The sequence below is a fragment of the Homo sapiens genome, chromosome 17 (assembly GCF_000001405.40).
Source record: "Homo sapiens chromosome 17, GRCh38.p14 Primary Assembly".
Taxonomy (NCBI): Eukaryota; Metazoa; Chordata; class Mammalia; order Primates; family Hominidae; genus Homo; species Homo sapiens.
The window spans coordinates 40,436,292-40,460,428 of NC_000017.11; the positions used below are offsets into that span (position 1 = coordinate 40,436,292).

The window sequence follows — 24,137 nt, forward strand, 5'->3', positions numbered from 1 at the left end:
GAGAGGCCCCTCAGGCCAGGATGTTCTTTTGGGAAGGGAGAAGAGGAAGGTTGGGATGAAGTGGGCAGGGGTAAGGAGGAGAGAAAGGATGAGGCATAGACGCTGGCATGAAGGATCCTGGCTCTGGCTATGGAATGATGGGGCCAGAAGAGAGTCTGGGCATATGCAGAAGGCATGACTGGTGCTATCTGTAAGCTCCTACTGCTGGTGGGGAAAGGGGGAGGCATGCAGCTGGGGAGTAAGGGCCCTGTGCGCATGGGTGTTGGAGATCACTCTGAAGGTCCAGCAAACTCTGGGGGCTTACGAGTCTAAAGTCTTATGCCCCCTCTGTGGGGGCGTCTCTAAGCCTAAAGCCCTTTTGGAGGACTCCCTGGGTTCAGAGGTCCCTTGGTCTCTTTAGGATTTCCTAAGGGGAAGGTGGCACTTTTTTCCTCAGGGTTGGGGAAACAGGACTCAGGGCCTGGAGGCCCTCTAGGGAATGTGGACAGGGTGTCTGCTCTGATTCTGGGCCTCTGATCTGTCAGGCCACCTGCCCTCTGACTCAACAAGCATTAGGGGAAGCAGGGCAAACGACTTCCCAGCCCAACCTCTGGCTCTCTCTGCTCAAAGTGCCCTGTGTGTCGTCGTTTCTGCAAGTGTCCTCTGCAAGATTTTCCCAGGTTGCACTTTCTTCTTCTGCTCCTACCCCCATCTTTCTCGAGTTCTGAGCCCAAAGCTCACGGTCAAAGAAGGCTAAGATTGTAGCAGGCAATAAATGTATTTGGCACAAGTCTTGGCTCAATTACTTGCTAGCTGTATACTCTTGGGTTAGCCTCATCACTTCTCGGGGTGGTGACAGAACTCTCACAGGGCCCAACATCATTCACTTGGCTTGTCTCCTGCTTAAGCTTTGGACAATGAGAAAGCGCTCCTGTTGGTGCCAATTGGCCTGGAAGCGTTGCAGGCTCTGGAGTGTTGGAAGCCATGCCAGCATGGGGCCTTGGACCATGCAAAAGGAATCCGGAGGTCCTAGATTCCTAGATTGCCAGAGCTGGAAGGGCCTTCACAATTCAACAAGTTGCCTTCCCCCATTTTACAGATGGCCAAACTGAAGCTAAGGAACAGGAAGTGGTCACAAAGCTGGTGAGCAGCTAAGCAGGATGGCCTGGAGATATGAAACTGGATCCTGGCCAGCCCAACTGTGGATGGCTTTCCTCTCCCCTCCCCCTCTCTTGCCTGGGTGTTCACCTCTGGAACCATGTGTTCCCAGGGAAGGACCCAGGCTCCATAGTCTGGGACTGGGCTGGACCAGGCCTCCCTCTGCACTGTGTTGTCTCTATGGAGATCCTGGCTCTCTTGATCTGGTCTCTCCAAGTATGGGGCCCTGGTGGGCAGGAAGGCAGCTGTACTGATACACCATTGCTCAGCCCACATCTGCGGTGACTGTGGGGGTGCCCTGTCTGGGACCTGGATGTCAGCTGACATGGAGGGGAGCTAAGATCCTCTACTCAGTGTGGGCACAGTGGACATTCCAGGGCAATCAGGAAAGGGGCTGGGAGGCCAAAGTTATGAGGAGGCCTGGGGCCCAGTCCCCTACCAATGCCACCTCTGCCCTGATCTCCCCACCCAGCTTGTACTCTGTGTCAGACTCTTTTGCCCTTGTTGGCATTAGAGTGCTCTGACAGCTGTTTTGAAAGGCAGTAAAGCATAGGGGCTAATAGTACAGACTCTGGAGCCAGACTGCTTGGGTTCACATCCCTGTTCTTCCACTTACTTGCTGTGTGACTCTGAGTAAGTTACAAACCTCTCCATGCCTCTGTTTCCTTGTCTTAAAAACGGGATGGTGATAGTGCCTAGTTCACGAGGTTGCTGTGAAGTGCTCATGAGTGAAGCACTTAGATCCCTATCCTGCATGTAGTCTGTGACTACTGTGTTAACTTTTTTTTTTTTTTGAGACAGAGTTTCACTCCTGTAGCCCAGGCTGGAGTGCAATGGTGCCATCTTGGCTCACCGCAATCTCCCCCTCCCAGGTTCAAGTGATTCTCCTGCCTCAGCCTCCCCAGTAGCTGGGATTACAGGCACACGCCACCATGCCCGGCTAACTTTTTGTGTTTTTAGGAGAGACAGGGTTTCACCATGTTGGTCAGTCTGGTCTTGAATTCCTGACCTCAGGTGATCCACCTGCCTCGGCCTCCCAAAGTGCTGGGATTACAGGCGTGAGCCACCGCGTCCGTCCTGCTCTTTTTAGAAACAATTTTATTTTTTATTTTTAAGAGACCAGGTCTGTCTCTGTTACCCAGGCTGGAGTGCAGTGGCACTCATAGTTCACTGCAGCCTTGAACCCTTGGGCTCAAGGGACCCTCCTGCTTCAGCCTCCTGAATAGCTAGGACTATAGGCTCATGCTACCATAGCTGGCTAATTTTTTTTTTTTTTTTTTTTTTTGAGACAGGGTTTCACTCTGTTGCCCAAGCTGGAGTGCAGTGAGCTATCTTGGCTGACTGCAACCTCGACTTCCTGGGCTCAAGTGATTCTGCTACCTCAGCCTCCCAAGCAGCTAGGATCACAGGTGCATGCCACCATGCCTGACTAGTTTTTGTATTTTTTTTTTGCAGAGACAATGTTTTGCCAGGTTGCCCAGGCTGGTCTTGAACTCCTGCGCTCAAGCGATCCACCTGCCTTGGCCTCCCAAAGTGCTGGGATTACAGACGCGAGCCACCATGCCTGGCCCCATGCTCTTTATACAGCCTCTCCCAGACACGACACTTGCAGGCTGAAGGGGGACACTAAACCCAGTCTTCTGAGAGCCTCTAGTTCAGTGGGGGAGACACAGGTCTTGCCACCAGGGGGTCTCAGCCATGTGGAGAAGTTACAGTTCCCAGCAGGAGAGGGGTAGGAGGGAGCAAACACTTGGTGCTTACTATGTGCCAGGCAATTTGGATAGGTCTCTCTCTCTTTCTTGCTGCAAAGTCCCATTTTCCAGATAAGGCCTGAAGCTCAGAGAGCTCAAGTAACTTGTTTTAGGTTTCCTAGTGAGCCCAGTGACACGGCTGGGGTCAGAATCCAGGTCATTGTGACACTCACACTGTGCTGATTCTTGTAGCATGGAAGGCCATTGGCTCAAGGATCATCTCTCTCTTTTTATTTTTTATGGTGAAAAGATATACATATATTTAGAATTGGACAGCTGGACTCAGTTTAGACGATCCCAATTTTGTTGGCAACATCCAAAGCATCGTAATCAGGAGCCAGTCCAACATATGCCTTCTTCTCTCCATCAGGCTGAATCGGGGTGTTGACCTTGGCCACATCAATGTCATAGAGCTTCTTCACAGCCTGTTTGATCTAGTGCTTGTTGGCTTTAACATTCACAATGAACACAAGTGTGTTGTTGTCTTCTATCTTCTTCATGGCAGACTCAGTGGTCAGTGGAAACTTAGTGATAGCATAGTGGTCAAGCTTGTTTCTCCTGGGGGCGCTCTTCTGAGGATATTTGGGCTGCCTCCGGAGTCGCAGTGTCTTGGGCCGCCGGAAGGTGGGTGACCTGTGGATCTTCTTTCTTTTTGTGGCTGTGGACACCTTTCAACACTGCCTTCTTGAGTTCGGCTTTAAGAGGGGCAGGAGATTCTTTCTTTGCCTTCAGCACCGTCTTGTGAAAAAGGATCATCTCTAATGAAGACTTTCAGCCTGTATGCCCTGAATGTAAAACTGACCACCTGTGGCTCTGGATCCCCATTGTGCCCCATATGAACATCTCCCAGGGCACCTGCACACTTCTCAGATTTATTTTATTTACATACTATCGTCCCTCATTAGGCAGTGAGCTCCTTGAGGGCAGGGGGTGATCTTGGTCATCTCTGCATCCCTGGTATGTAGCATAAAGCCTGTGCATATTAGGCGTTCAGTAAATCTGTGTTACATGAATGGTAGGAGGTGCTTGGAAGGCCTCTTTCCTGTGCATCTTCCTGCCTCCTTGGAATTAACCCAATGATGAGGGGTGGAGGGACACCAGAGGATGGACTGAGGGGCTGGCGTTGAGGTGTGGGAATCTGTCTCATCTGGCAACCTTTGCAGATTCCCACACTCACCTGCACTCATGCTTCATCCCAGGCATGTTGCGTGGGTTTGTCCGGCCTCTCCTGCACTCCTGCCTCTGTGTCCTGGCACCTTTTCTCCTCTTGGGCTTGCTGAACAGGGCACATGTCTGGCATTGGGAGCAGAACTACTCTTCTCCATTCATTTTACTCTCACAAGAGCTTCAAGAGGTAGGATGGGTGGAGATGATCTACCTCCATGTTACAGCTAAGGTCAGTCAAACTCCAAGTTCACGCAAGTTGGTGGCAGAACAGGGTCCAGTGATGATCAAGGAAGGAGATGGGGTGGGGAACGTTTTCTTTTCTTTTTTTCTTTTTTTGAGACTGAATCCTGCTCTGTTGCCTAGGCTGGAGTGCAGTGGTGTGATCTCGGCTCACTACAACCTCCATCTCCTGGGTTCAAGCGATTCTCCTGCCTCAGCCTCCTGAGTAGCTGGGACTACAGGCACGTGCCACCACGCCTGACTAATTTTTTTTATTTTTAGTAGAGACGAGGTTTCCCCGTGTTAGCCACGATGGTCTCGATCTCCTGACCTCATGATCCACCCGCCTTGGCCTCCCTAAGTGCTGGAATTACAGCCGTGAGCCACCATGCCCGGCCTGGGGGCAGTTTTCTGAATCAGGCACAGGCTGGGCTTCCCCAGGGACTTGAGGAAGCTGGTTCTGTTTGCCCTTCTCCAAGGCATATGGGGCAGAAGGGTCCCCACTTCATCTATGAGATGGAATGGAGAGAACCCCAGAATCTTGGCCCCAGCCATCACTTTCCAGCCCTTCTGCAGTCTTGATGGTTGCCAGTAGGTGCCGTCAGTTTGCAACTTTTTGGTCTGTCCTGCAGGTCCGGCTGCCAGTCCCAATCTCCCTGCAATCATCTCTCAGTAAGTAGGAGGTAGCCCAATCCCCGTGAGGCTGAAAGACCCCTGTCCTGGGGGAAGAAGCAGGAAGAGGGTCTCTGAACTGCATTTCAGCTTGGCTGACCTGCAGCTTTCTAGGCCGAGACAAAAAAAAAAAAAAATCCACAGTGGGTTACTGATTATTCCTGGACAGGTACGCTTAACCTGAAACCAGCTCCAGTACAGCAGAAGCCTTTGTAGGGAAGAATGGGTGGGAATTAGCGGGGGCCTGAGAGGGAACCTAGGAGATGGATCTTTGCTCCAAATGCCACTCCAGGGCTCTTCTCAATTTGGGCAGGATTGGGCAAGGCTGGGGGAATAGGGATCAATAGGATTTTACAGAGGGTCAAGCCAGGCCCAACACTAGCCCAAGTAGCAACACTGGGTGAATTAAAAAAGCATCCCTTCCTTAAAATTCTTTTTTTTTTTTTTTTTTGAGACAGAGTCTTGCTCTGTCACCTGGACTGGAGTGCAGTGGTATGATCTTGGATCACTGTAACCTCCTCCTCCTGGGGTTCAAGCGATTCTTCTGCCTCAGCCTCCCAAGTAGCTGGGATTACAGGCATGCGCCACCACGCCCGGCTAATTTTTGTATTTTTAGTAGAGATGGGGTTTCACCGTGTTGGCCAGACTGGTCTCAAACTCCTGACCTCAGGTGATCTGCCCACCTTGGCCTCCCAAAGTGCTAGGATTACAGGCATGAGCCACTACGCCTGGCCTTCTTTTTTCTCTTTCTTTCTTTTTTTTTTTGAGATGGAGTCTCGCTCTGTCGCCCAGGTTGGAGTGCAGTGGCGCAATCTCAGCTCACTGCAAGCTCCACCTCCCGGGATCATGCCATTCTCCTGCCTCAGCCTCCCTAGTAGCTGGGACTACAGGCACCCGCCACCACGCCCGGCTAACTTTTTGTATTTTTAGTAGAGAGGGGGTTTCACCGTGCTAGCCAGGATGGTCTCGATTTCCTGACCTCGTGATCTGCCCGCCTCGGCCTCCCAAAGTGCTGGGATTACAGGCGTGAGCCACCGCGCCCGGCCTTCTTTCTTTCTTTCTTTTTTAGACAGAGTTTCCTTCTTTCACCTAGGCTGGTGTGCAGTGGTACAATTCTAGCTCACTGCAGCCTCCAACTCCTGGGCTCAAGTGATCCTCTTGCCTCAGGCTCCCGAGTACCTGGGACCACAGGTGAACGCCACCACACCTGGCTAATTTTAAAATTTTTTTGTAGAGACAAGGTCTCACTACGTTGCCCAGACTGGTCTTGAACTCCTGGGCTCAAGTGATCCTCCCGCCTCAGCCTCCAAAAGTGCTGACATTACAGGTGTGAGTCACTGCTGCAGGCCCCTCAAATCCTTCACTGCCATCTGGGAAATGATCACAACAGCTCTACAAATACACAATGATTACAAGGAATGGTGCCCCACTGGAGTTGTTCAACGCAAAACTTGCACATTGCAAGTGGCAATCTCCCAGGCCTGCCTCCCTCCACGAGTGGGTCTGAATGGGCCTGAGAGGCAAACATCCAAGAAGGAGGAAGAGGCTCGGCGGCACCTCCCTCCCCGGGAGTTCTGCTGATTCCATCTTGGGGAAGCAGGGTGGACCAGGGCCCAAATGCGCCCTGGGGAGATTGCGGGGGCGGGAGAGGTTGCAAGGGGCAAGTGGCAAGAGCCTGTTAACGTCTTAGGGCCTCCAGGCCTTTCTGTGCCCCTAGCTGTGCCTGTACGCTTTACCCCACCTCAGGAGGCTTGGTCTCCAGCGGTTGAGGCTGGAAGCACCGGGGTGCGGTGGAAAGGGCTCTGTCCAGGAAGACCGGATCCGCAGAGCCGGGAGTCCGGGCTAGGAAGTCCCTTTCTCGGTGGGAGACTGAGGCCGCCTTGGCGGGGCGGGACGAGACTCCTCCGAGGTCGGGAAAGGGGGCCCCGCAGCAGCCCCTTGGCTTCCCTTCTCCCTTGCCTCCCCTCCGGGGCTCCGGTTCAGAGGCACTCTGGGCGCCTGCTACAGCTTCCAAACTGCGCCGCTTCCTTCTTCGGCAGAAAAGGACTTTCAGATGCGGCGGCGGCGGCGGCGGCGACTCAGGACAGCGCCCCCTCCCCCTAACGGCCGCCTCTCCCTCTCCCCCTCGCCCGCCCCGGCTCCCCCACCTCTGGGAAGGCGCTGGGGGTGTGGCCAGGGACCGGTATAAAGTCCGGGGGAGCCGGTCCCGGGCAGCCGCTCAGCCCCCTGCCCCTCGCCGCCCGCCGCCTGCCTGGGCCGGGCCGAGGATGCGGCGCAGCGCCTCGGCGGCCAGGCTTGCTCCCCTCCGGCACGCCTGCTAACTTCCCCCGCTACGTCCCCGTTCGCCCGCCGGGCCGCCCCGTCTCCCCGCGCCCTCCGGGTCGGGTCCTCCAGGAGCGCCAGGCGCTGCCGCCGTGTGCCCTCCGCCGCTCGCCCGCGCGCCCGCGCTCCCCGCCTGCGCCCAGCGCCCCGCGCCCGCGCCCAGTCCTCGGGCGGTCATGCTGCCCCTCTGCCTCGTGGCCGCCCTGCTGCTGGCCGCCGGGCCCGGGCCGAGCCTGGGCGACGAAGCCATCCACTGCCCGCCCTGCTCCGAGGAGAAGCTGGCGCGCTGCCGCCCCCCCGTGGGCTGCGAGGAGCTGGTGCGAGAGCCGGGCTGCGGCTGTTGCGCCACTTGCGCCCTGGGCTTGGGGATGCCCTGCGGGGTGTACACCCCCCGTTGCGGCTCGGGCCTGCGCTGCTACCCGCCCCGAGGGGTGGAGAAGCCCCTGCACACACTGATGCACGGGCAAGGCGTGTGCATGGAGCTGGCGGAGATCGAGGCCATCCAGGAAAGCCTGCAGCCCTCTGGTAAGGTACCCCTGGCCTCCCAATTCCCTCCTGAGTGCGCTCCCTTCCCAGCGGCTTCTTCCCCATTCCAGCCGCCCTGGAAGGCCCTTAAAAATCCCCTATGAGTTGAAGAGAAGGCAGGTACGTGGCAGGGCCCGACTGGCATGGGACAGGCTCATCAAGGAAACTGCTACCGAGTCCCTAGCAGCCTGTTGCCACCACCAAGGGAGACTGTCCCATCGCTCCATCTCAAACCTCCAAGGGTTGTCTGTTTGATAAGGGGGTCCCAGTGGGAGGCCTGGCTGCTGGTGCAGGAGTGGCAGATTAAGGTCCAGTTAAGTCAGCTGTCTAGGGCCAGAGAACTGGAGGATGGTGGTGGGGTGTGTGTTGGGGAGGATGAGGGAGTGGGGAAAGCTTTCTGTTCCTGATCCAGGCCGAGGGTGAAATCCCAGTGGTCTGGGGAGCCAGGGCCTGAACTTTTTTTTTACATGGTCCAGTGGTGGAGTGGGACATACAAATTAGAGGGACTTTGGCGTTGAGGGGCATTAGACTTGCCCTTCCCCAAAGCCCAGAGCCAGGTCACCTTGTTGTTTGAGAGGCAGTGGGAAGACAGGGGTCCCTCTGCCAGGCCTGGACACCTCTGCCTGCCCTGGTATACAGGCCCCCTGTTCTTTTCTCCAGGCAGGTAGGATTTGAGGTGGTAGAAAAGTCTTGGCTCCTAGCCGAGAGCTGCAGGAGCCTCATGTGTGTGGGATAGGGAATAGAGAAGGGGCCAGGGCGCCAGGGGAGAGAAACAGAGAGAGAGAGAGAGAGAGAGAGAAACACACACACACACACACACACACACACACACACACACACACAGAGACAGAGAGAGAGAGAGAGAGAGAGAGAGAGAGAGAGAGAGAGAGAGAGAGAGAGACTCTGAGAAGGCCCTTGCCCTAACCTCATTCTTACACTTTCTTTTTTTGTTTCTCAGTTTCTCCTTAGACTCTCAGTCTCTTTTCCTTCTTTCTCTTGCTCTTTTGTTCTTCCTGATTTGTCTCTCAACCTCTAGTTTCACTAGTCATGCTCTCGAGTTCTGTTTTCCTCAGTGTCTTCTGCCCATCGTGCGTTTCTTTCTCCACCTTATTCTGTGTTTCTGTTTCAGTTGCTCTGCTTCTCTCCCTCTCTTTCTGTTGCTGTTTCTCTGTGTCTCTGTCACTGTTGGTCTTTCCCTGTTACTTTGGGAATCTCTCTGTCTGTCTTTCTGTATCTATGCCTCTGTTTCTCATTCCATCTCCGACCCTGTTTTGCTCTCCTGTGCCTCTGTCTGTCTCTGTCTCTTTTCCTGGTGCTTGAAGCTTCCATTGTTGCAGTCCGGATGCTGGGACTCCAGCCCCAAGCTTCCTGTCCTGGGACCCAAACCCTCCACTTCCTCAATCCTCTGCAGCTTGTCAGCCGAGGAGAGCAGGATGCAGGGAAAACAGGAAGGAGGTGGACTCCAGGGGTCTGGGCCTCGGGCCTCTCTGCCCTTCCTGCCCCTGGGTAGGGAGAGATGGGTCAGCAGAAAACATTCTAGGAGAAATGCCAGCCTGGCACCCAGCATATCTGGGAAGGGGGGTCCTGGGGGAGAAAGTCGCTAATCTTGGGGCAGAGATGCCAGTGGCAATGGTAGAGGAGGGGTACTGAGACTGGGAGGGAGCAAGGGCCGAGCCCTTGGGTTCGCGGGGTACAACAGAGTCACGTTCCCTTTGAATCTCCATCCTCCACCAGCCAGAGGGTATCTGGCACCAGATAAGGATGGCTGGTAGCCTCCTCCTCTCTCAGCACTTTGAATGCAAGACAGAAGAGCCCTCAAAGGGCTGGGTAGGAATACCTCATCCTCTGGTTGGGTAGGAATACTCCATCCTGTAGTGGAGGAAAATAAGATCCCCTAGGGGTTTGGGGAGGGCATGGCATGAGAATTTTGTGGTTGTCCTCTGGATATAATGCAAACTGGCCTCCAGGAATATCTAGGGGCTGGGTGTGGAGGTTCATGCTTGTAATCCCAGCACTTTGGGAGGATTGCTTGAGGCCAGGAGTTCGAGACCAGCCTGAGCAATATAGCCAGACCCCCGTCTCTACAAAAAAAAAAAAAAAAAAATAGGCAACTGCAGTGGCTCATGCCTGTAGTCCCAGGTATTTGGGAGTCTGAGATGAGAAGTTCAAGGTTACAATGAGCTATGATCACGTGATTGCACTCCAGCCTGGGCGACTCTATTTCGTAAAAAAAAAAAAAAAAAAAAGTAGGCCGGGTGCAGTGGCTCACACCTGTAATCTCAGTATTTTGGGAGGCTGAGGAGGGTGAATCACCTGAGGTCAGGAGTTTGAGACCAGCCTGGTCAACATGGTGAAACCTCGTCTCTACTAAAAATACAAAAATTAGCTGGGCATGGTGGTGCGTGCCTGTAGTCCCAGCTACTTGGGAGGCTGAGGCAGGAGAATCACTTGAACCCGGGAGGTGGAGGTTGCAGTGAACCAAGATTGTGCCACTGCGCTTTAGCCTGGGTGACAGAGCGAGACTCTGTCTAAAGAAAACAAAACAAATAAACAAAAAAAACAAAAAACGGTGTCTTGGAATGGGGTGGCTTTAGGTCCCCTTTGGATGACACAGCCAAGGTCTGTAATGCCCCTCCCCCTTTCCTCCTTGCCTTGTCCTCCAGCCTCCAGCCATGCAATGGATGCAGGTATCTGGAGAGAGACGAGGGAAGCCTGGAGGTACCTACTGAGCAAGCTATGCCCGTGCCCTCCCACACCTCCTAGTCATCATAGAAGTAATCCCTTGCTGTGACCTGGGCCACATGGCACCATGTAAAAGGCACTCTCTAGAGTTCTGCTGCAGCCCTGCAGGGTCTGTGGGTGAGATAAGACGACCAAGCCCCTACCCACCCATCTTTTTAGCCTTACACAGTCAGTAGGCCACTGTCTGCTTTAGGTCCCAAGGTTTGGGCCCACTGGCCCGCGAATAGCTTGGTCGAGGGTACCTGTCTATTTTTTCTGCCTTTTCCTTTTGGGGCTGAGTGTCAGCAGGTGGCTGGGGGAGGGTGGCCACTTGGCATGCCCCCTTCTTTGGCTGCTATGGTCCAGCTGCCTCCTGTTTGCCCCAGGGGCAGATCTCCCCTTTCCGTCTCCAGCCACCCCTGCCTGCCCTCCTGTCACAGCTTTCCATGTGCTGGCCAGGTTGTGGCTTAACACCACTGAGGCCACCAGAGATGAGGCGGGGCGTGTGCATCAAAAGTCCACACCTCTGCATCCTGGTACTGATCCTAGACTCATGGAATCTGGGGGAGTGGACAGCGGAAAGATCAGCGTTTGGACGGGGAGTTCCTAAGCTGGGCTCTCAGTCCCTTTGGGACAGGGTTAGGGAACAGGCAGGCTGGGTTAATTTTTAGTCAATGCAGCAAATTCTGCCCCCCTACTTCAGTACTGGGAATCCAGTTATGTCATGGGAACAAGGGCATTCCCAGAAATTCTGTGCCTTGTGGGGAGGGGGAGGGAGGAGCATGGCCGCTTCCCATTTTTAATTTAGTACTGGCAAAGCTAGCAGTATTGGTGCCTCGGGTATCAGGAGTCTTTCCACTTAAAGACAGAGTGCTGCAGAGCTAAGTCTCTCCTCCTCCCCTTCCACCCAGTCTACTTCATTTTCCTAATTTTTAAAGTGGGGAGGGCAACAGGACCTGCCTCACAGGGTTGGGGCGTCTGGCATCGGGTAAGAGCTCAATAAATTGAAGTGATGAGGAAGATGGTGATGAAGAAGCTGATGCTGGGACTTAGGGAAGCGGTAGGACGAGGGAGCAAATTTGGGGCAACATTCAGAGGAGTTGAGAGGGGTGGGGTGGCCTTTGGTGCATTTTGCTGCTGTCAACATGGGAAGAACAGGCCAAGTTGCCTTATCTGTTTTTTATTCTGAGGCTGGCAGCATGACACAGCTGTTGGGGGTGATACCCCTTGAGCCAGACCTCAGAGAAAGGGCCTGGTACCCAGCACCAGCGGTCTTGGCTTCTCCAGCTAGAGTCTAGGGGAAGAGGGAAAAGACCTTTCTAGCAGGACAGGTGGGTGACCCTCTGGATCACAGCTGAAACTTCTGGTCGGGATGGCTGGGCCCACTCAGTTCATAGCCTAGGTGTCTCTCGAGGGCCAGGGGCTGGCGTTGGGGAGAAATTGTGAGGGTAAAATCAGGCAACAGGAAAGAGGAAATCCTCTGGCTTTCGCCACAAACTTTGCAGCCGGTGGTGCCAAAGCCGTGTGGCCTCTTCTCTGGCGCCTTCCCTTCCTCTGCTGCTGGAGCAAAGACCGAGGTTTCCCCTATAGTCAGATGTCAACTGGCTTAGCTCCAAGCTGGGCGCTGTAGGAGGACCAAGCCTACTTGGAAGTCCCATCTCCCAAACAAGCTTTTTGGAGGTCAGACTTTTCAGGGGAATAGGTCTGACTCCACTCCTGCTCAGAGGGGAACCCACAGGCATTGGAATTTCTCCAGAGGGCACTACCAGGATGAGTAGCACCAGGTGGCTGGAACTCTTGTGTGAGCAGGGAAATAGCAAGTATTTAGCCAGTTTTGGAGATGAGAAGGTTAACGTTATCAAGAGACTCAATGCTATAACCCTTACCCCCACAAAAACCTGGTGCTTAGGGGTGGATCCTGGGGTGGCTCTTCAGTCTGCCAGTTAAGCAGGGTTGGGCAAGGAAAAGTTACAGATTACATGGAAAGTCAACAAACCACGGTGCAGAGAAGCTGTTGAAGTCAGCGTGCCCTGCCCTGGCTCTGTGTCTCTGACCAGGGCAGGGTCAGAGTGCCCAAGTGCATGTGGGTAAGGCACATGTGGATGAATGTGTGTCTGGACACGTGATTGTTTGTGTACACTTGCAGTTCTTGAGCCTGAGCCTGTCTGTGTGAGTAGGCAAATACGGATTTACCCTGTGTCCCCATGAGACTAAGGAGGGAGCTACTCTCCCTATCTGGTGGGTGCTACTCCGTGTAGACATGAACTGGGGATAAGTAGGATGGCTAGTGGGGAACCTAACAAGGGAGAAGCCAGGCAGTTTGCTGGCTTAGCTTTTCGTAGGTAACCCTCTGATGTGACATGGGGCCATACCAACCCAAGAGCATAAGCCATGCCTCTGGACTCACCCTGTGCCCCATGCAGCCCTAGGCTTCAGTGAGCATACCTAATCCTCCTTAATGGTAAACATCCCAAATATCCATTAATAATCCTCTGAGGGTTAGTTATTTGTGAACTTTGACTCGTAAAAGCTCAGCACTGTGGCTCACGCCTGTAATCCTAGCACTTTGGGAAGTCTAGGCAGGAGGATCACTTGAGGCCAGGAGTTTGAGACCAGCCTGGGAAACACAGTGACACCCTGTCTCTTAAAAAAAAAAGAAAAGGCCGGGCGCAATGGCTCATGCCTGTAATCCCAGCACTTTGAGAGGCCGAGGCAGGTGGATCACGAGGTCAGGAGATCGAGACCATCCTGGCTAACACGGTGAAACTTCATCTCTACTAAAAATACAAAAAAATTAGCTGGGCATGGTAGCGGGCGCCTGTAGTCCCAGCTACTTGGGAGGCTGAGGCAGGAGAATGGCGTGAACCTGGGAGGTGGAGCTTGCATTGAGCCGAGATCGCGCCACTGCATTCCAGCCTGGGCGACAGAGCGAGACTCCGTCTCAAAAAAAAAAAAAAGGAGAGAGAGAGAGAAAAAGAAACTCAGCATGGAAAGCATAGTTGTGGTCATGCTTCTATTCCATATCTCTTGAGATTTTTGAGGCTGCTACCACCCTAATTCTCCACACTTCCAGGGTGGGAGCTCACTACCTCCTGAAAACTCTTCCTCACTCCTTGAACTCCTGAAAAACCTTCCTCACTCCTTGAACCAAAGAATATTCTACCCATTTACTGAGAGGAATGAATCATTGTACAAAATAGTGCTTGCTTTTTTAAAATTTTGAGACAGGGTCTCACTTGTTGCACAGGCTAGAGTGCAGTGGTGTGATCACTGCTCACTGCAGCCTCGACCTCCTGGGTTCAGGTGATCCTCCCACCTCAGCCTCCCAAGTAGGTGGGACTACACCTGTGCATCACCACACCAGGCTAATTTTTTGTAGAGATAGGGTTTCACTATGTTTCCTAGGCTGGTCTTGAACTCCTGGGTTCAAGCGATCCACCTATTTCGGCCTTCCAAAGTGTTGGGATTACAGGCGTGAGCCACCCCAGCTGGCCCCTAGTACTTTCTTTTATGGTCATTAAAAGAAAGCAAACTCAGGAAAAACAAAGGCTTTCCAGGTTGGAAGGGTGCCCCCTGGTGTTAGTGTCCTGGGCTGTGGCAAACAAGTCCAGGTGATCTCCAGCCCTACTTAAGTAACAGGGTGGGGCCTTTGTCCACATCTCAGCTCAGCCTCTGTCCTTCTGACATTTGGTTCTAATTCTTTAATTCTTGAATTTTTTTTTTGTTTTTTTGTTTTTGTTTTTGTTTTAAGAGACAGGGTCTTGCTCTGTTACCCAGGCTGGAGTGCAGTGGCACAATCATAGCTCACTGTAGCCTTGATGTACTGGGGTCAAGCGATCCTCCTACCTCAGTCTTCTAAGTTAGGACCACAGGCAGGTCTGACTAATTTTTTTTTTTTTGGTAGAGACAGGGTCTTGCTATGTTGCCCAGGCTAGTCTTGAACTCCTGGCCTCAAGTGATCCTCCCACCTCGGCCTCTCAAAGCACTGGGATTACAGGCGTGAGCACCCAGCCTGGTTCTAATTCTTTGAGGTCTTCCATTTCCTTTTTCTCTCCACTCCCCAGTTCCAGCTTACACCCCTGAAACACGGTGACTCCATCCTCAAGCCTTATGGCTTTGTGCAAGGTGGGGGTGTGGAGGGAGGTGATCACTGGGGCAGCTTAGGTTTCTTTGGCTGGAGGAATTCCTTGGGAGGGTCTCAAAGGAAGGGCCTGGATCCCAGATCTTTCTCTGGTTCCTAACCGAGGGCTCAGGATCCATCTCCTTATGGTCCCCTTGGCACAGTCCTCGTCTTCTGAAGTTTATGTTTCTTCTTTTGCTGCCTACCTTGGCCAGGGGGTCTTGCTATAGTGTCTTCTCTTTGGTTGACTCTTAGGAACTTGATGTAGGACTGGAGTCCCCTCTGGACTGTCCTTCTTGGGATTTTAAATGTGCAGAAGGATGGATTATATCTGTCTACTCTATTTATTTCTTCCCTTTTATTCCTCTTTTCTAAGCCAGCTCTCCACCGTAACAAAATCTTCTTCCATCCTTGGTGAATTTTATTAATAACCTTTGGTGTGGAAGGTTATTGATAAAGACTTTCTGGTTAGATTCCTCCTTGCCTGGTTTGCCTTTATCCACATATTTCTCCCCACACCCCCCAAACCAGGAGAATGAAAAGAGAACCAACCCCCCCAGCTTTGGCTAGGCAGAAAAATACCATTTGACCCAGAGGCAGCTCTGGGATCGCTGCCACGCATGGAGGAACCTGCTAACTCCTCAGGAAAAAAAAAACCCTGACGCAAACCAGATGTAACCTCCTGTCCGGCTGCCAACATCTGGAATGCTGGCAGGGGCTTTGCACTCAGGCCGGCAGCGAGCTGCCAAGCCTGAGCATTTCAGAGGTGGCTCTGATCTGCAGAGAGGTCTTCCAACCTCTTTCTCCAGCTCAGCCCTGTATTCTGGTTTTGACTGCTTGGAGGGAGGAGCAGTGGTTACAGTTCTGGGACTCAAGCATGGGGTTTTTCTTTTTTAAAAAAATGTATTTTATTTTATTTTATTTTTTTAGAGACAGGGTCTTGCTCTGTCACCCAGGCTGGAGTGCAGTGGTGTGATCATAGCTCACTGTTAACCTCGAATTCCTGGGTTCAAGTGATGCTCCCGCCTCAGCCTCCTGAGTAGCTAGGACTACAGGCACATGCCACCATACCCGGTTAATTTTTAAATTTTTTGTGAAGATGGGGTCTTGCCATGTTGCCTAGGCTGGTCTCGAACTCCTGGCCTTAAGTAATCTTCCCTCCTCAGCCTCCCAAAGTGTTGGGATTACAGGCATGAGCCACAATGCCCCATTTGGATGGAGTTTTTCTTGAGCTCAGATAGAGCCTTCAGGAGATCCCACAGAGGGGTTGAAGGTCCAGCCTCATCACTCCCGTCTCCAGATCCCTGGTGCCCTGGTTCTGGGCAACCCCTATGGACTTTGGATGGAGTCTGAAGTCTAAGAATGGGAAACTTCGAGGTGGGGGACTGAAGGAATGTGTGAGGCTGTTCTTGTGGTCCTGGGGCCACACAGGTTGTGTTACACACACACTCACACACACACTCACTCTTCCTCATGCAGGCGGATACACTAACTCCCACTTCTCTCCCACTCAGCCAATGGGGAGAGCCTTTTGGGCTAGAGTTCTCATTGCTCATGGAAACTCTGATTCAGGCCATTTGGAAGAGGGCGAGCAGAGTCCACAGCCCTGGGGATCCCCTGGCTGGCTCAGCCAGACACCGAAAAAATCAGGAGAGGCAACAGGGAGAACGATCAGATGGAGAGGGGAATGGTGGGAGCTGAATGGAAAGGGGACAGGATCCAGCAGGGGGTCCCCCTGCCTGCCTCAGACCTCCCTGCAGGGCCCAGGGGACCCTCCTGCCATCTGGGCAGCTGCAGCTGGTGACTCATCTGAGCGCTGGCCTGAGTGGGGTGAGGGACAAGTCAAGGACTTCAAGAGGAATATTCTCCTGAGAGATCCAGGGGAGAGGGGAGGAGGTAGGGGGCTGCTCTTGTTTCTTCCCGCTCCCCAGGCCCCCTGCTCTTCTCCAGCGCCAAGCCGAAGAATCCCCAGGAAGGAGAACGTGGGTGGGAGGCTGGGTTGGTGTGACGCTCTGACCTCTTCCGGTGCTGACCTCTCCTTATCGCTACCTGAATACAGACAAGGACGAGGGTGACCACCCCAACAACAGCTTCAGCCCCTGTAGCGCCCATGACCGCAGGTGCCTGCAGAAGCACTTCGCCAAAATTCGAGACCGGAGCACCAGTGGGGGCAAGATGAAGGTCAATGGGGCGCCCCGGGAGGATGCCCGGCCTGTGGTAAGGACCTCCGATGCACAAATGTGCATGTGCATAGACACACACACACACATGCCCCCTGCCCCCCACATGCACGCACCCACACACACCATCACCACCAGATCTGGGGCGTGTTCATTCAGCACACATTCTAGGGTGACTACTGTGTGCAAGGTGCAACTAGTGTGAGTCATCAGGACCCAGAGAAAGCACTCATTCCCTTCCTTGGGATTCCTTTCCTGCCCATCAGTTATATACATCGGGGCAGCTTAAGTGATTATTAAATACTGAAAAACTTCTATACCAATTGGTAAAAAGCAGTTACCCAAAGCGCCCTGGGGTTTCTTGGCCTTTTTTGGATTCCCCACCCCAGACCTTCTCAGTAACCAAAGGGTAATGCTGGCCATAGCAGGGGGCCTGGGACCCTGCTCCAGGGTCTGGCTAATTTCCCTTCTGAAGGTCTTACAAGTTGTCAGTTGGAAGTTTTATCTGTCCCTTCTGCATAGAAATCACCCCCTCCCTGGCTTTCTGCATAGGTTCCCACAGCCCCTTTCCCCACAGTGTCCCCTCACTTCCCACCCCTCCTTTGAAGAAGCTCTTTGGCTCGAGACCCTTTCCTCCACGTCTCTACCCTCCCAGTGTGTCCTCCAGACCCAGGCCTCTCTCTTCACCTCACTGGGTCCTGCCCAGCCCCTGGGGCTCAGGCCTCCTTTCGGGGCCTTCAGTTCTCACTTAGCTCTGACCCCAGGCCTGGGCCTCCTGCCTCTCTTCCTTCTGCTGAGCAATTTTGTCTTCCCCTCCTCCAGCCCCAGGGCTCCTGCCAGAGCGAGCTGCACCGGGCGCTGGAGCGGCTGGCCGCTTCACAGAGCCGCACCCACGAGGACCTCTACATCATCCCCATCCCCAACTGCGACCGCAACGGCAACTTCCACCCCAAGCAGGTGGGTCTCTGTCTCCCGCTGGCTTGGCCCTGGACTCAGCTCTGGGGCATTTCCGGCCTCTCCGCAGGATGGTCCTGGATGGAGATCTCAGGAAGGGGAAACTCCTCAACCCCAACCCAACCCCTTGGAGCCTCCCTAAACCTACCTCAGCGTCAGAACCTCACTCATTTTGGAGATGAGGAGACTGTGATCCAGAGAGGAGTAAAAGCGCCGGGCTAGTCCAGAGTCATAGAACAAGTTAACAGCAGATCTTGCCTCCCTATCCAGGGCAATTTCCCTCACCCCTGGATTTCACCATCTGTGGTGCAGACCTAGCAACCCTGACAACCTCTGGCTCCCAACACTCTCTCATTCACTCTACTCTATTCGTATGAGTAATTCCTCCTGTCACTGAGTGAGGTTTCTTCTGGGAATGGAGGGCCAAAGTCATGAGGAGTCAGGGAGGAAACTCAGCCTACCCCTCCCTGCAAGGCGAGTAGCAAAACCACCTGGGGTACAGCAAGAGTGAAGGTAAAACCAGATTGGACGGTTGGAGACAGGCACTTTGGGTAGAAGCAGAGGAAGGAGTGGGGCAGGAGAGAAGACACAAAGGCAGCAACTTCCCTATTCCTTCCTGCCCTTGGAAGCTGGGGTCCTCTGACAAGCCTCCAGGAGGCTGGGATGGTCAGCAGGGTTGGCCTCTTCCAGTCTATCTCTGGCCCATCAGAATGGGTGGCCTGTCTGGGCAGGGCTCTGGTGTGCCTCCTGCTGGGTGTTGCCTGGGGAACCCTAGCCTGGAGCTCTTTGTCGACGTAGACAGACCCATTTCCCTGCTCCATGAGCTATAGACAAATCCACAATTTGAGCTGCCACTCTGCCAGCAGAAGTCTAGATAGAAGGACAAAGGTTGCCCTGAGTCTGTGCATCCCAGGATGGCATGAAAAGGGTATGAGTGAAGGGACAGAGAGGGCACCCCAAAACCAATGCCCAGCCTATTTCTAACCTTTATCCTAACACGAATTTTATCCTTGTCCCAATTTAAAAAACTTTTTCTCTTAATTTAAAAAAAACAATTAATAGCTTTATTTTTTAGAGTAGTTTTAGGTTTACAGAAAACTTGAGCAAGAGTACAGGGTTTCAATGTACTGTCATCCACCCCAGTTTCCTCATTATTAACATCTTACATTTGTTGCAATTGATGAACGAATATTAGTATATTATTATTAATTAGTGGTTTATATTAGGGTTCACTTTTTGTGTTGCAAAATTCTATGCATTTTCTTCTCCTGATTTTTTTTTTAAAGGCAGGATCTCAGTCTCCCAGGCTGGAGTGCAGTGATGCGATCACAGCTCCCTGCAACCTCCACATCCTGGGCTCATGTGATCCTCCTACCTCAGTCTCCTGAGTAGCTGGGACCACAGGCACACAACTATGTCAGGCTAATTTTTTTTTTTTTTGAGACAGAGTTTGTCTCTTGTTGCCGAGGCTGGAGTGCAATGGTGGGATCTCGGCTCACTGCAACCTCCATCTCCCGGGTTCAAGCGATTCTCCTGCCTTAGCTCCCGAGTAGCTGGGATTACAGTTGCCTGCCACCACACCCGGCTAATTTTTTGTATTTTTAGGAGAGATGGGGTTTTGCCATGTTGGCCAGGCTGGTCTCGAACTCCGGACCTAAGGTGATCCACCCACCTCGGCCTCCCAAAGTGCTGGGATTACAGGCTTGAGCCACTAGCTTCTTCCTCTGATTTTTATCCCATTGAAAGTTCTGACACTTGAACTTTATCCCCAGACCAGTTCTGATCCTTAAGCTATCCTTCACTCCAAGATTAATTCTCACACTGAAATATACATTTGCGCCCCCTGAACCTTCTACTATCTAATTTTGACCCAAAATTTAGCTTAACTTTAGTTATTCTGACCTTGACCTCTGTCTTTATCCCAATTGTGTTTTTACCTGGGCTTTAACCCTCACCCAACTCATCCAGCTCAACTTTTAGTCATATTTCCTCATTCAACTGCAACTCTTACCCTGGTCCTACCTTAATCCCAGCTTGGATCCACCTCATAACTATAATCCCATTCTTAAAGTCCCAACCCAATCAGAATATGTACCCAAAACATCTCCAACCTGAACCCAGCCTTTCAAATCCAGCTGTGCCTTTAAACCCGAGGGCTTTCTTAAGGTCCTGCCTTCCAGAACTCTCTGGACCTTTCCTTCTTGACCATGTTCTCCCTGCTCCAGTGAGCTCAGAAGACCCATGCTCAAAAAAGAGTCACCACCCTCAGAGGCCATCTTGAAGCAGCGACCGTCTGACTTGGGGGCTGGGCTGGGCTGGGATTGGGGTGGGTCACTTGGGGTCTCTTTTCCTGCGTCGGAACTGACCCCTCATGTCCTTCTCTTGGCAGTGTCACCCAGCTCTGGATGGGCAGCGTGGCAAGTGCTGGTGTGTGGACCGGAAGACGGGGGTGAAGCTTCCGGGGGGCCTGGAGCCAAAGGGGGAGCTGGACTGCCACCAGCTGGCTGACAGCTTTCGAGAGTGAGGCCTGCCAGCAGGCCAGGGACTCAGCGTCCCCTGCTACTCCTGTGCTCTGGAGGCTGCAGAGCTGACCCAGAGTGGAGTCTGAGTCTGAGTCCTGTCTCTGCCTGCGGCCCAGAAGTTTCCCTCAAATGCGCGTGTGCACGTGTGCGTGTGCGTGCGTGTGTGTGTGTTTGTGAGCATGGGTGTGCCCTTGGGGTAAGCCAGAGCCTGGGGTGTTCTCTTTGGTGTTACACAGCCCAAGAGGACTGAGACTGGCACTTAGCCCAAGAGGTCTGAGCCCTGGTGTGTTTCCAGATCGATCCTGGATTCACTCACTCACTCATTCCTTCACTCATCCAGCCACCTAAAAACATTTACTGACCATGTACTACGTGCCAGCTCTAGTTTTCAGCCTTGGGAGGTTTTATTCTGACTTCCTCTGATTTTGGCATGTGGAGACACTCCTATAAGGAGAGTTCAAGCCTGTGGGAGTAGAAAAATCTCATTCCCAGAGTCAGAGGAGAAGAGACATGTACCTTGACCATCGTCCTTCCTCTCAAGCTAGCCAGAGGGTGGGAGCCTAAGGAAGCGTGGGGTAGCAGATGGAGTAATGGTCACGAGGTCCAGACCCACTCCCAAAGCTCAGACTTGCCAGGCTCCCTTTCTCTTCTTCCCCAGGTCCTTCCTTTAGGTCTGGTTGTTGCACCATCTGCTTGGTTGGCTGGCAGCTGAGAGCCCTGCTGTGGGAGAGCGAAGGGGGTCAAAGGAAGACTTGAAGCACAGAGGGCTAGGGAGGTGGGGTACATTTCTCTGAGCAGTCAGGGTGGGAAGAAAGAATGCAAGAGTGGACTGAATGTGCCTAATGGAGAAGACCCACGTGCTAGGGGATGAGGGGCTTCCTGGGTCCTGTTCCCTACCCCATTTGTGGTCACAGCCATGAAGTCACCGGGATGAACCTATCCTTCCAGTGGCTCGCTCCCTGTAGCTCTGCCTCCCTCTCCATATCTCCTTCCCCTACACCTCCCTCCCCACACCTCCCTACTCCCCTGGGCATCTTCTGGCTTGACTGGATGGAAGGAGACTTAGGAACCTACCAGTTGGCCATGATGTCTTTTCTTCTTTTTCTTTTTTTTAACAAAACAGAACAAAACCAAAAAATGTCCAGATGATTGTGTTTGGTTGATTTATTCTCAGTTAGACACAGGGATGCACCAGGGGTGGAGAGACGGGGACAGATTTTGGGAGGTGAGTATTGTGTGGTCCCCAGACCTGTCTGTATGGTAAGGGACTGCAGAAGGACGGCCAATCCACCTTCCTCTTCCCTGCAACGGAAGTTTCCTAGGGAACTCCTTGGCTTCAAAGTCTGCGCTGTCTTTACTTAGACTCCTGGTGGGCAAACAATGGCTCCTGAAAGGGGGGCATGACCAAGGACAGCCCTGTGGGGGCAGAGCTGTCTCTGGGATCAGCTGGCATGTGGGGCTGGGGCATTTCCTAGGGCATCGGGCGGACTGGGCTTGCATCTGGATTTGATTTATTAATTTGTTGGGGAGGGGCAGGGACACTGCCCTGCATTTGAGGAAAGGGGGTAGATGCTTCAGCACATTCCACAGCTCTGACTGCCGAGATCTCTGACTCGGGCATTGTGCTGAGATTGGATTCTGAGGTTGGGAGGGGTTGACTTTGCTGTAGACTCAGTGCCAGCCACAGCTTCAGAGATTGTGCTCACATGGTATGCCTGGACTCTTGGCCATCCTCCAAATGCCCCTCCCCTCCCACACCTCTGTGCCTTGTGTGTGTGTGTGCACGCATGTGTGTGGCAGGGGGTGGAGGGTCCGGGAGCAGAAGCTGATCTCTCGGTGGGGGCCTTTTTCCAGGAGGTTGCAGGCAGTCTGGAGACGCTGCATTGAGCCTGCCGCCCGCTGCGCGGGCTCCCTCCTATCTAGCTGTGTCCTGGATTCTCAGCCCCCTCCCCAGCTCCAGAGGCGCTTCCAGGCTTCTGATTTCACTGGGCCCCAACTTTGTTGGCACCTGTCCCGTCTGCATCTTGAGGCTGGGTCTGCAGTTCTGTCTCTCTAGCTCTGCCCCAGCAGCAAAGTCCTGCAGCCATCTGGTCTCCCTGAGGCACCACGGCGGCTGCCAGCAGCAGGAGATAAAGAACAAAGTGGTGTTGAGGGTTGCTTCCTCAGCCCCAGCCACTCTTCACAGAGTCCCCTCCTTCTGGAGCCCAGGCCAAGGCCTGTGGGGATGGGAGGTGGTGCACGCTGAAGATTAAGTTTTAGGTTTCAAGTTTAGGGAAAGTATCTCTTTCCCTAAGGCATCTTTTTCAACCCCCTTGTCTCTAGTCCCCTTCCCGATGCTCTAGGCTTGCACCCTTGGCAGTGGTGGTAGGAGGTCCTTTTTCTTTCATGGGCCTCCCAAAAAAGCCAAATTGGCTTGGAAGTAGCTGTGTGCATGGCCTGGGTGTAACTTCGTGACATACGTGCATTTGTGGAGTATGTGTGTGTGCATGCATGTGAGTATGACGCAGTGACACCTGAAACGTGAGTGTATGGGCTTTTTGGGGGTGTGCATGCCTGTTTGATGTGTGAAGGGAAGGTGTGCCATTTGTGTGGTGTGTATATGTGGTGTGTGCATTTGTGTGGTGTGCATTTGTGTGGTGTGTATATGTGGCGTGTGCATTTGTGTGGTGTGTATATGTGGCGTGTGCATTTGTGTGGTGTGCATTTGTGTGGTGTGTATATGTGGCATGTGAACACGTGTGCGATGTGAGGAGAGAGGGAGTGAGACATTCACGGAGCACGCCTGTCTCTCCTGGCTGTGGATGACTGGACTCTCGCTCATTAGGTGATCCCACCTCAGGGTTTGTGGGGAGATGTCTGACACTAGAGAATGAACATGTGCTTTGGGGAGAGGACTTTCACATCCCACAGAAACACTGCCCTGTCCAGGCTTCATGCCCACAGGATCCTGGAGCCAGGTCCTAAGTACCAAAAAGCAAATAAAAGCAGCTTCTTGTTTGCAGCTAGGCCCTCCCACCCTTGAAACGGTGGGAATACCCAAATGGTCTCTCTAGTTGCCACAGGGGTGTCAGCACCTCTGGGAGATGTGGGAGGGAGGTACTGGTGGCACCACTAAACCTGGATGGACTTGAGAACTGAAGTCCTTGAGTGCTCTGTCCTGCCTCCTGGAGACATGTCATTCCCTCCCACTGACTTGGAGCAGGGGATGGGACATCCCGCCTGCCAACAACCCCTAGCTGATCTACATCAAGCATTTGGTTTCCATTTCCCAGCTCACTAATAGAGATCAAGCCCTGATGTTGGCTGGGGGTTGGGGGCTGGGTTTTCCACTGGCAAGAAGGTGGGGTGGGAGTAGGGAGGAAAAATGGAGACTTGAACTGATTCCAGCCTTGGATTCAGGTTGGGGAATCTCTGGAGAGCTGGCCAAGCCTCTGGGCCCTGCTTGCTCTTCAGGCCCTGAAGTTCCAGCCACTGCCATCTCCCACCTCTTTCCAGGAAAAGGCTGGTTGTCCTAACCCCGCTGTACCCTGAGCCACATTCTGCCACCAAGCTGCTCCAGGAATGTTACGAGGCATGCAGGATTTGGGATGCCTGCTCGGTCCTCTTTCCCAGTGTGGGGGGCTGTTATGTGGCTGTGTGGTAAATGGCCTGAAGTGTTACCTGACAGAGATTCCCCCTGTATTCCAGGCCTCTCTGACCTCGAAAGAGAAAGTCAAGGTGATGTGGTGGAATGGAGCTGGGAGGCAGGCTGGCCTCTGGGATGTTGGGTCAGGACCGTGGGGCAGACTTCTGGGCACACCCATGGAGGAGCAGACACTGCTGCAGCCAACCAAGGGTCTAATTAGAT

At 53.2% G+C, this 24,137-nt stretch overlaps 1 protein-coding gene and 1 pseudogene across 1 annotated transcript, besides 4 other annotated features; one reads left to right on the forward strand and one right to left on the reverse strand.

Moving 5' to 3' along the window:
• On the reverse strand, positions 3,127-3,651 carry RPL23AP75 (ribosomal protein L23a pseudogene 75; annotated as a pseudogene).
• Positions 4,960-5,009: an enhancer, noted in NCBI's record as "active region_12146". NCBI's record gives its function as "activates an Ori minimal core promoter by ATAC-STARR-seq in GM12878 lymphoblastoid cells {active_cell/tissue: GM12878}" and the evidence as "EXISTENCE:reporter gene assay evidence [ECO:0000049][PMID:35858748]".
• Positions 7,056-7,245: a silencer, noted in NCBI's record as "silent region_8491". NCBI's record gives its function as "represses an Ori minimal core promoter by ATAC-STARR-seq in GM12878 lymphoblastoid cells {active_cell/tissue: GM12878}" and the evidence as "EXISTENCE:reporter gene assay evidence [ECO:0000049][PMID:35858748]".
• IGFBP4 (insulin like growth factor binding protein 4) lies at positions 7,159-21,434 on the forward strand. The gene is made up of 4 exons (NM_001552.3): positions 7,159-7,793; positions 16,694-16,851; positions 17,637-17,771; positions 20,158-21,434. Exons 1-4 carry the CDS (start codon positions 7,445-7,447, stop codon positions 20,290-20,292), a joined length of 777 nt encoding a protein of 258 aa, NP_001543.2. The 5' UTR covers positions 7,159-7,444; the 3' UTR covers positions 20,293-21,434.
• Positions 7,256-7,305: a silencer, noted in NCBI's record as "silent region_8492". NCBI's record gives its function as "represses an Ori minimal core promoter by ATAC-STARR-seq in GM12878 lymphoblastoid cells {active_cell/tissue: GM12878}" and the evidence as "EXISTENCE:reporter gene assay evidence [ECO:0000049][PMID:35858748]".
• Positions 7,316-7,365: a silencer, noted in NCBI's record as "silent region_8493". NCBI's record gives its function as "represses an Ori minimal core promoter by ATAC-STARR-seq in GM12878 lymphoblastoid cells {active_cell/tissue: GM12878}" and the evidence as "EXISTENCE:reporter gene assay evidence [ECO:0000049][PMID:35858748]".
• Positions 21,435-24,137: the final 2,703 nt, after the last annotated feature.

Excerpts from the sequence above, each read along its gene's own strand:
- IGFBP4 (NM_001552.3), top strand. The coding sequence starts at position 7,445 with ATGCTGCCCCTCTGCCTCGTGGCCGCCCTGCTGCTGGCCGCCGGGCCC. Across the intron at positions 16,852-17,636 it reads GGGAGGATGCCCGGCCTGTG|CCCCAGGGCTCCTGCCAGAG; the intron begins GTAAGGACCTCC and ends CCCCTCCTCCAG. Across the intron at positions 17,772-20,157 it reads GCAACTTCCACCCCAAGCAG|TGTCACCCAGCTCTGGATGG; the intron begins GTGGGTCTCTGT and ends TTCTCTTGGCAG.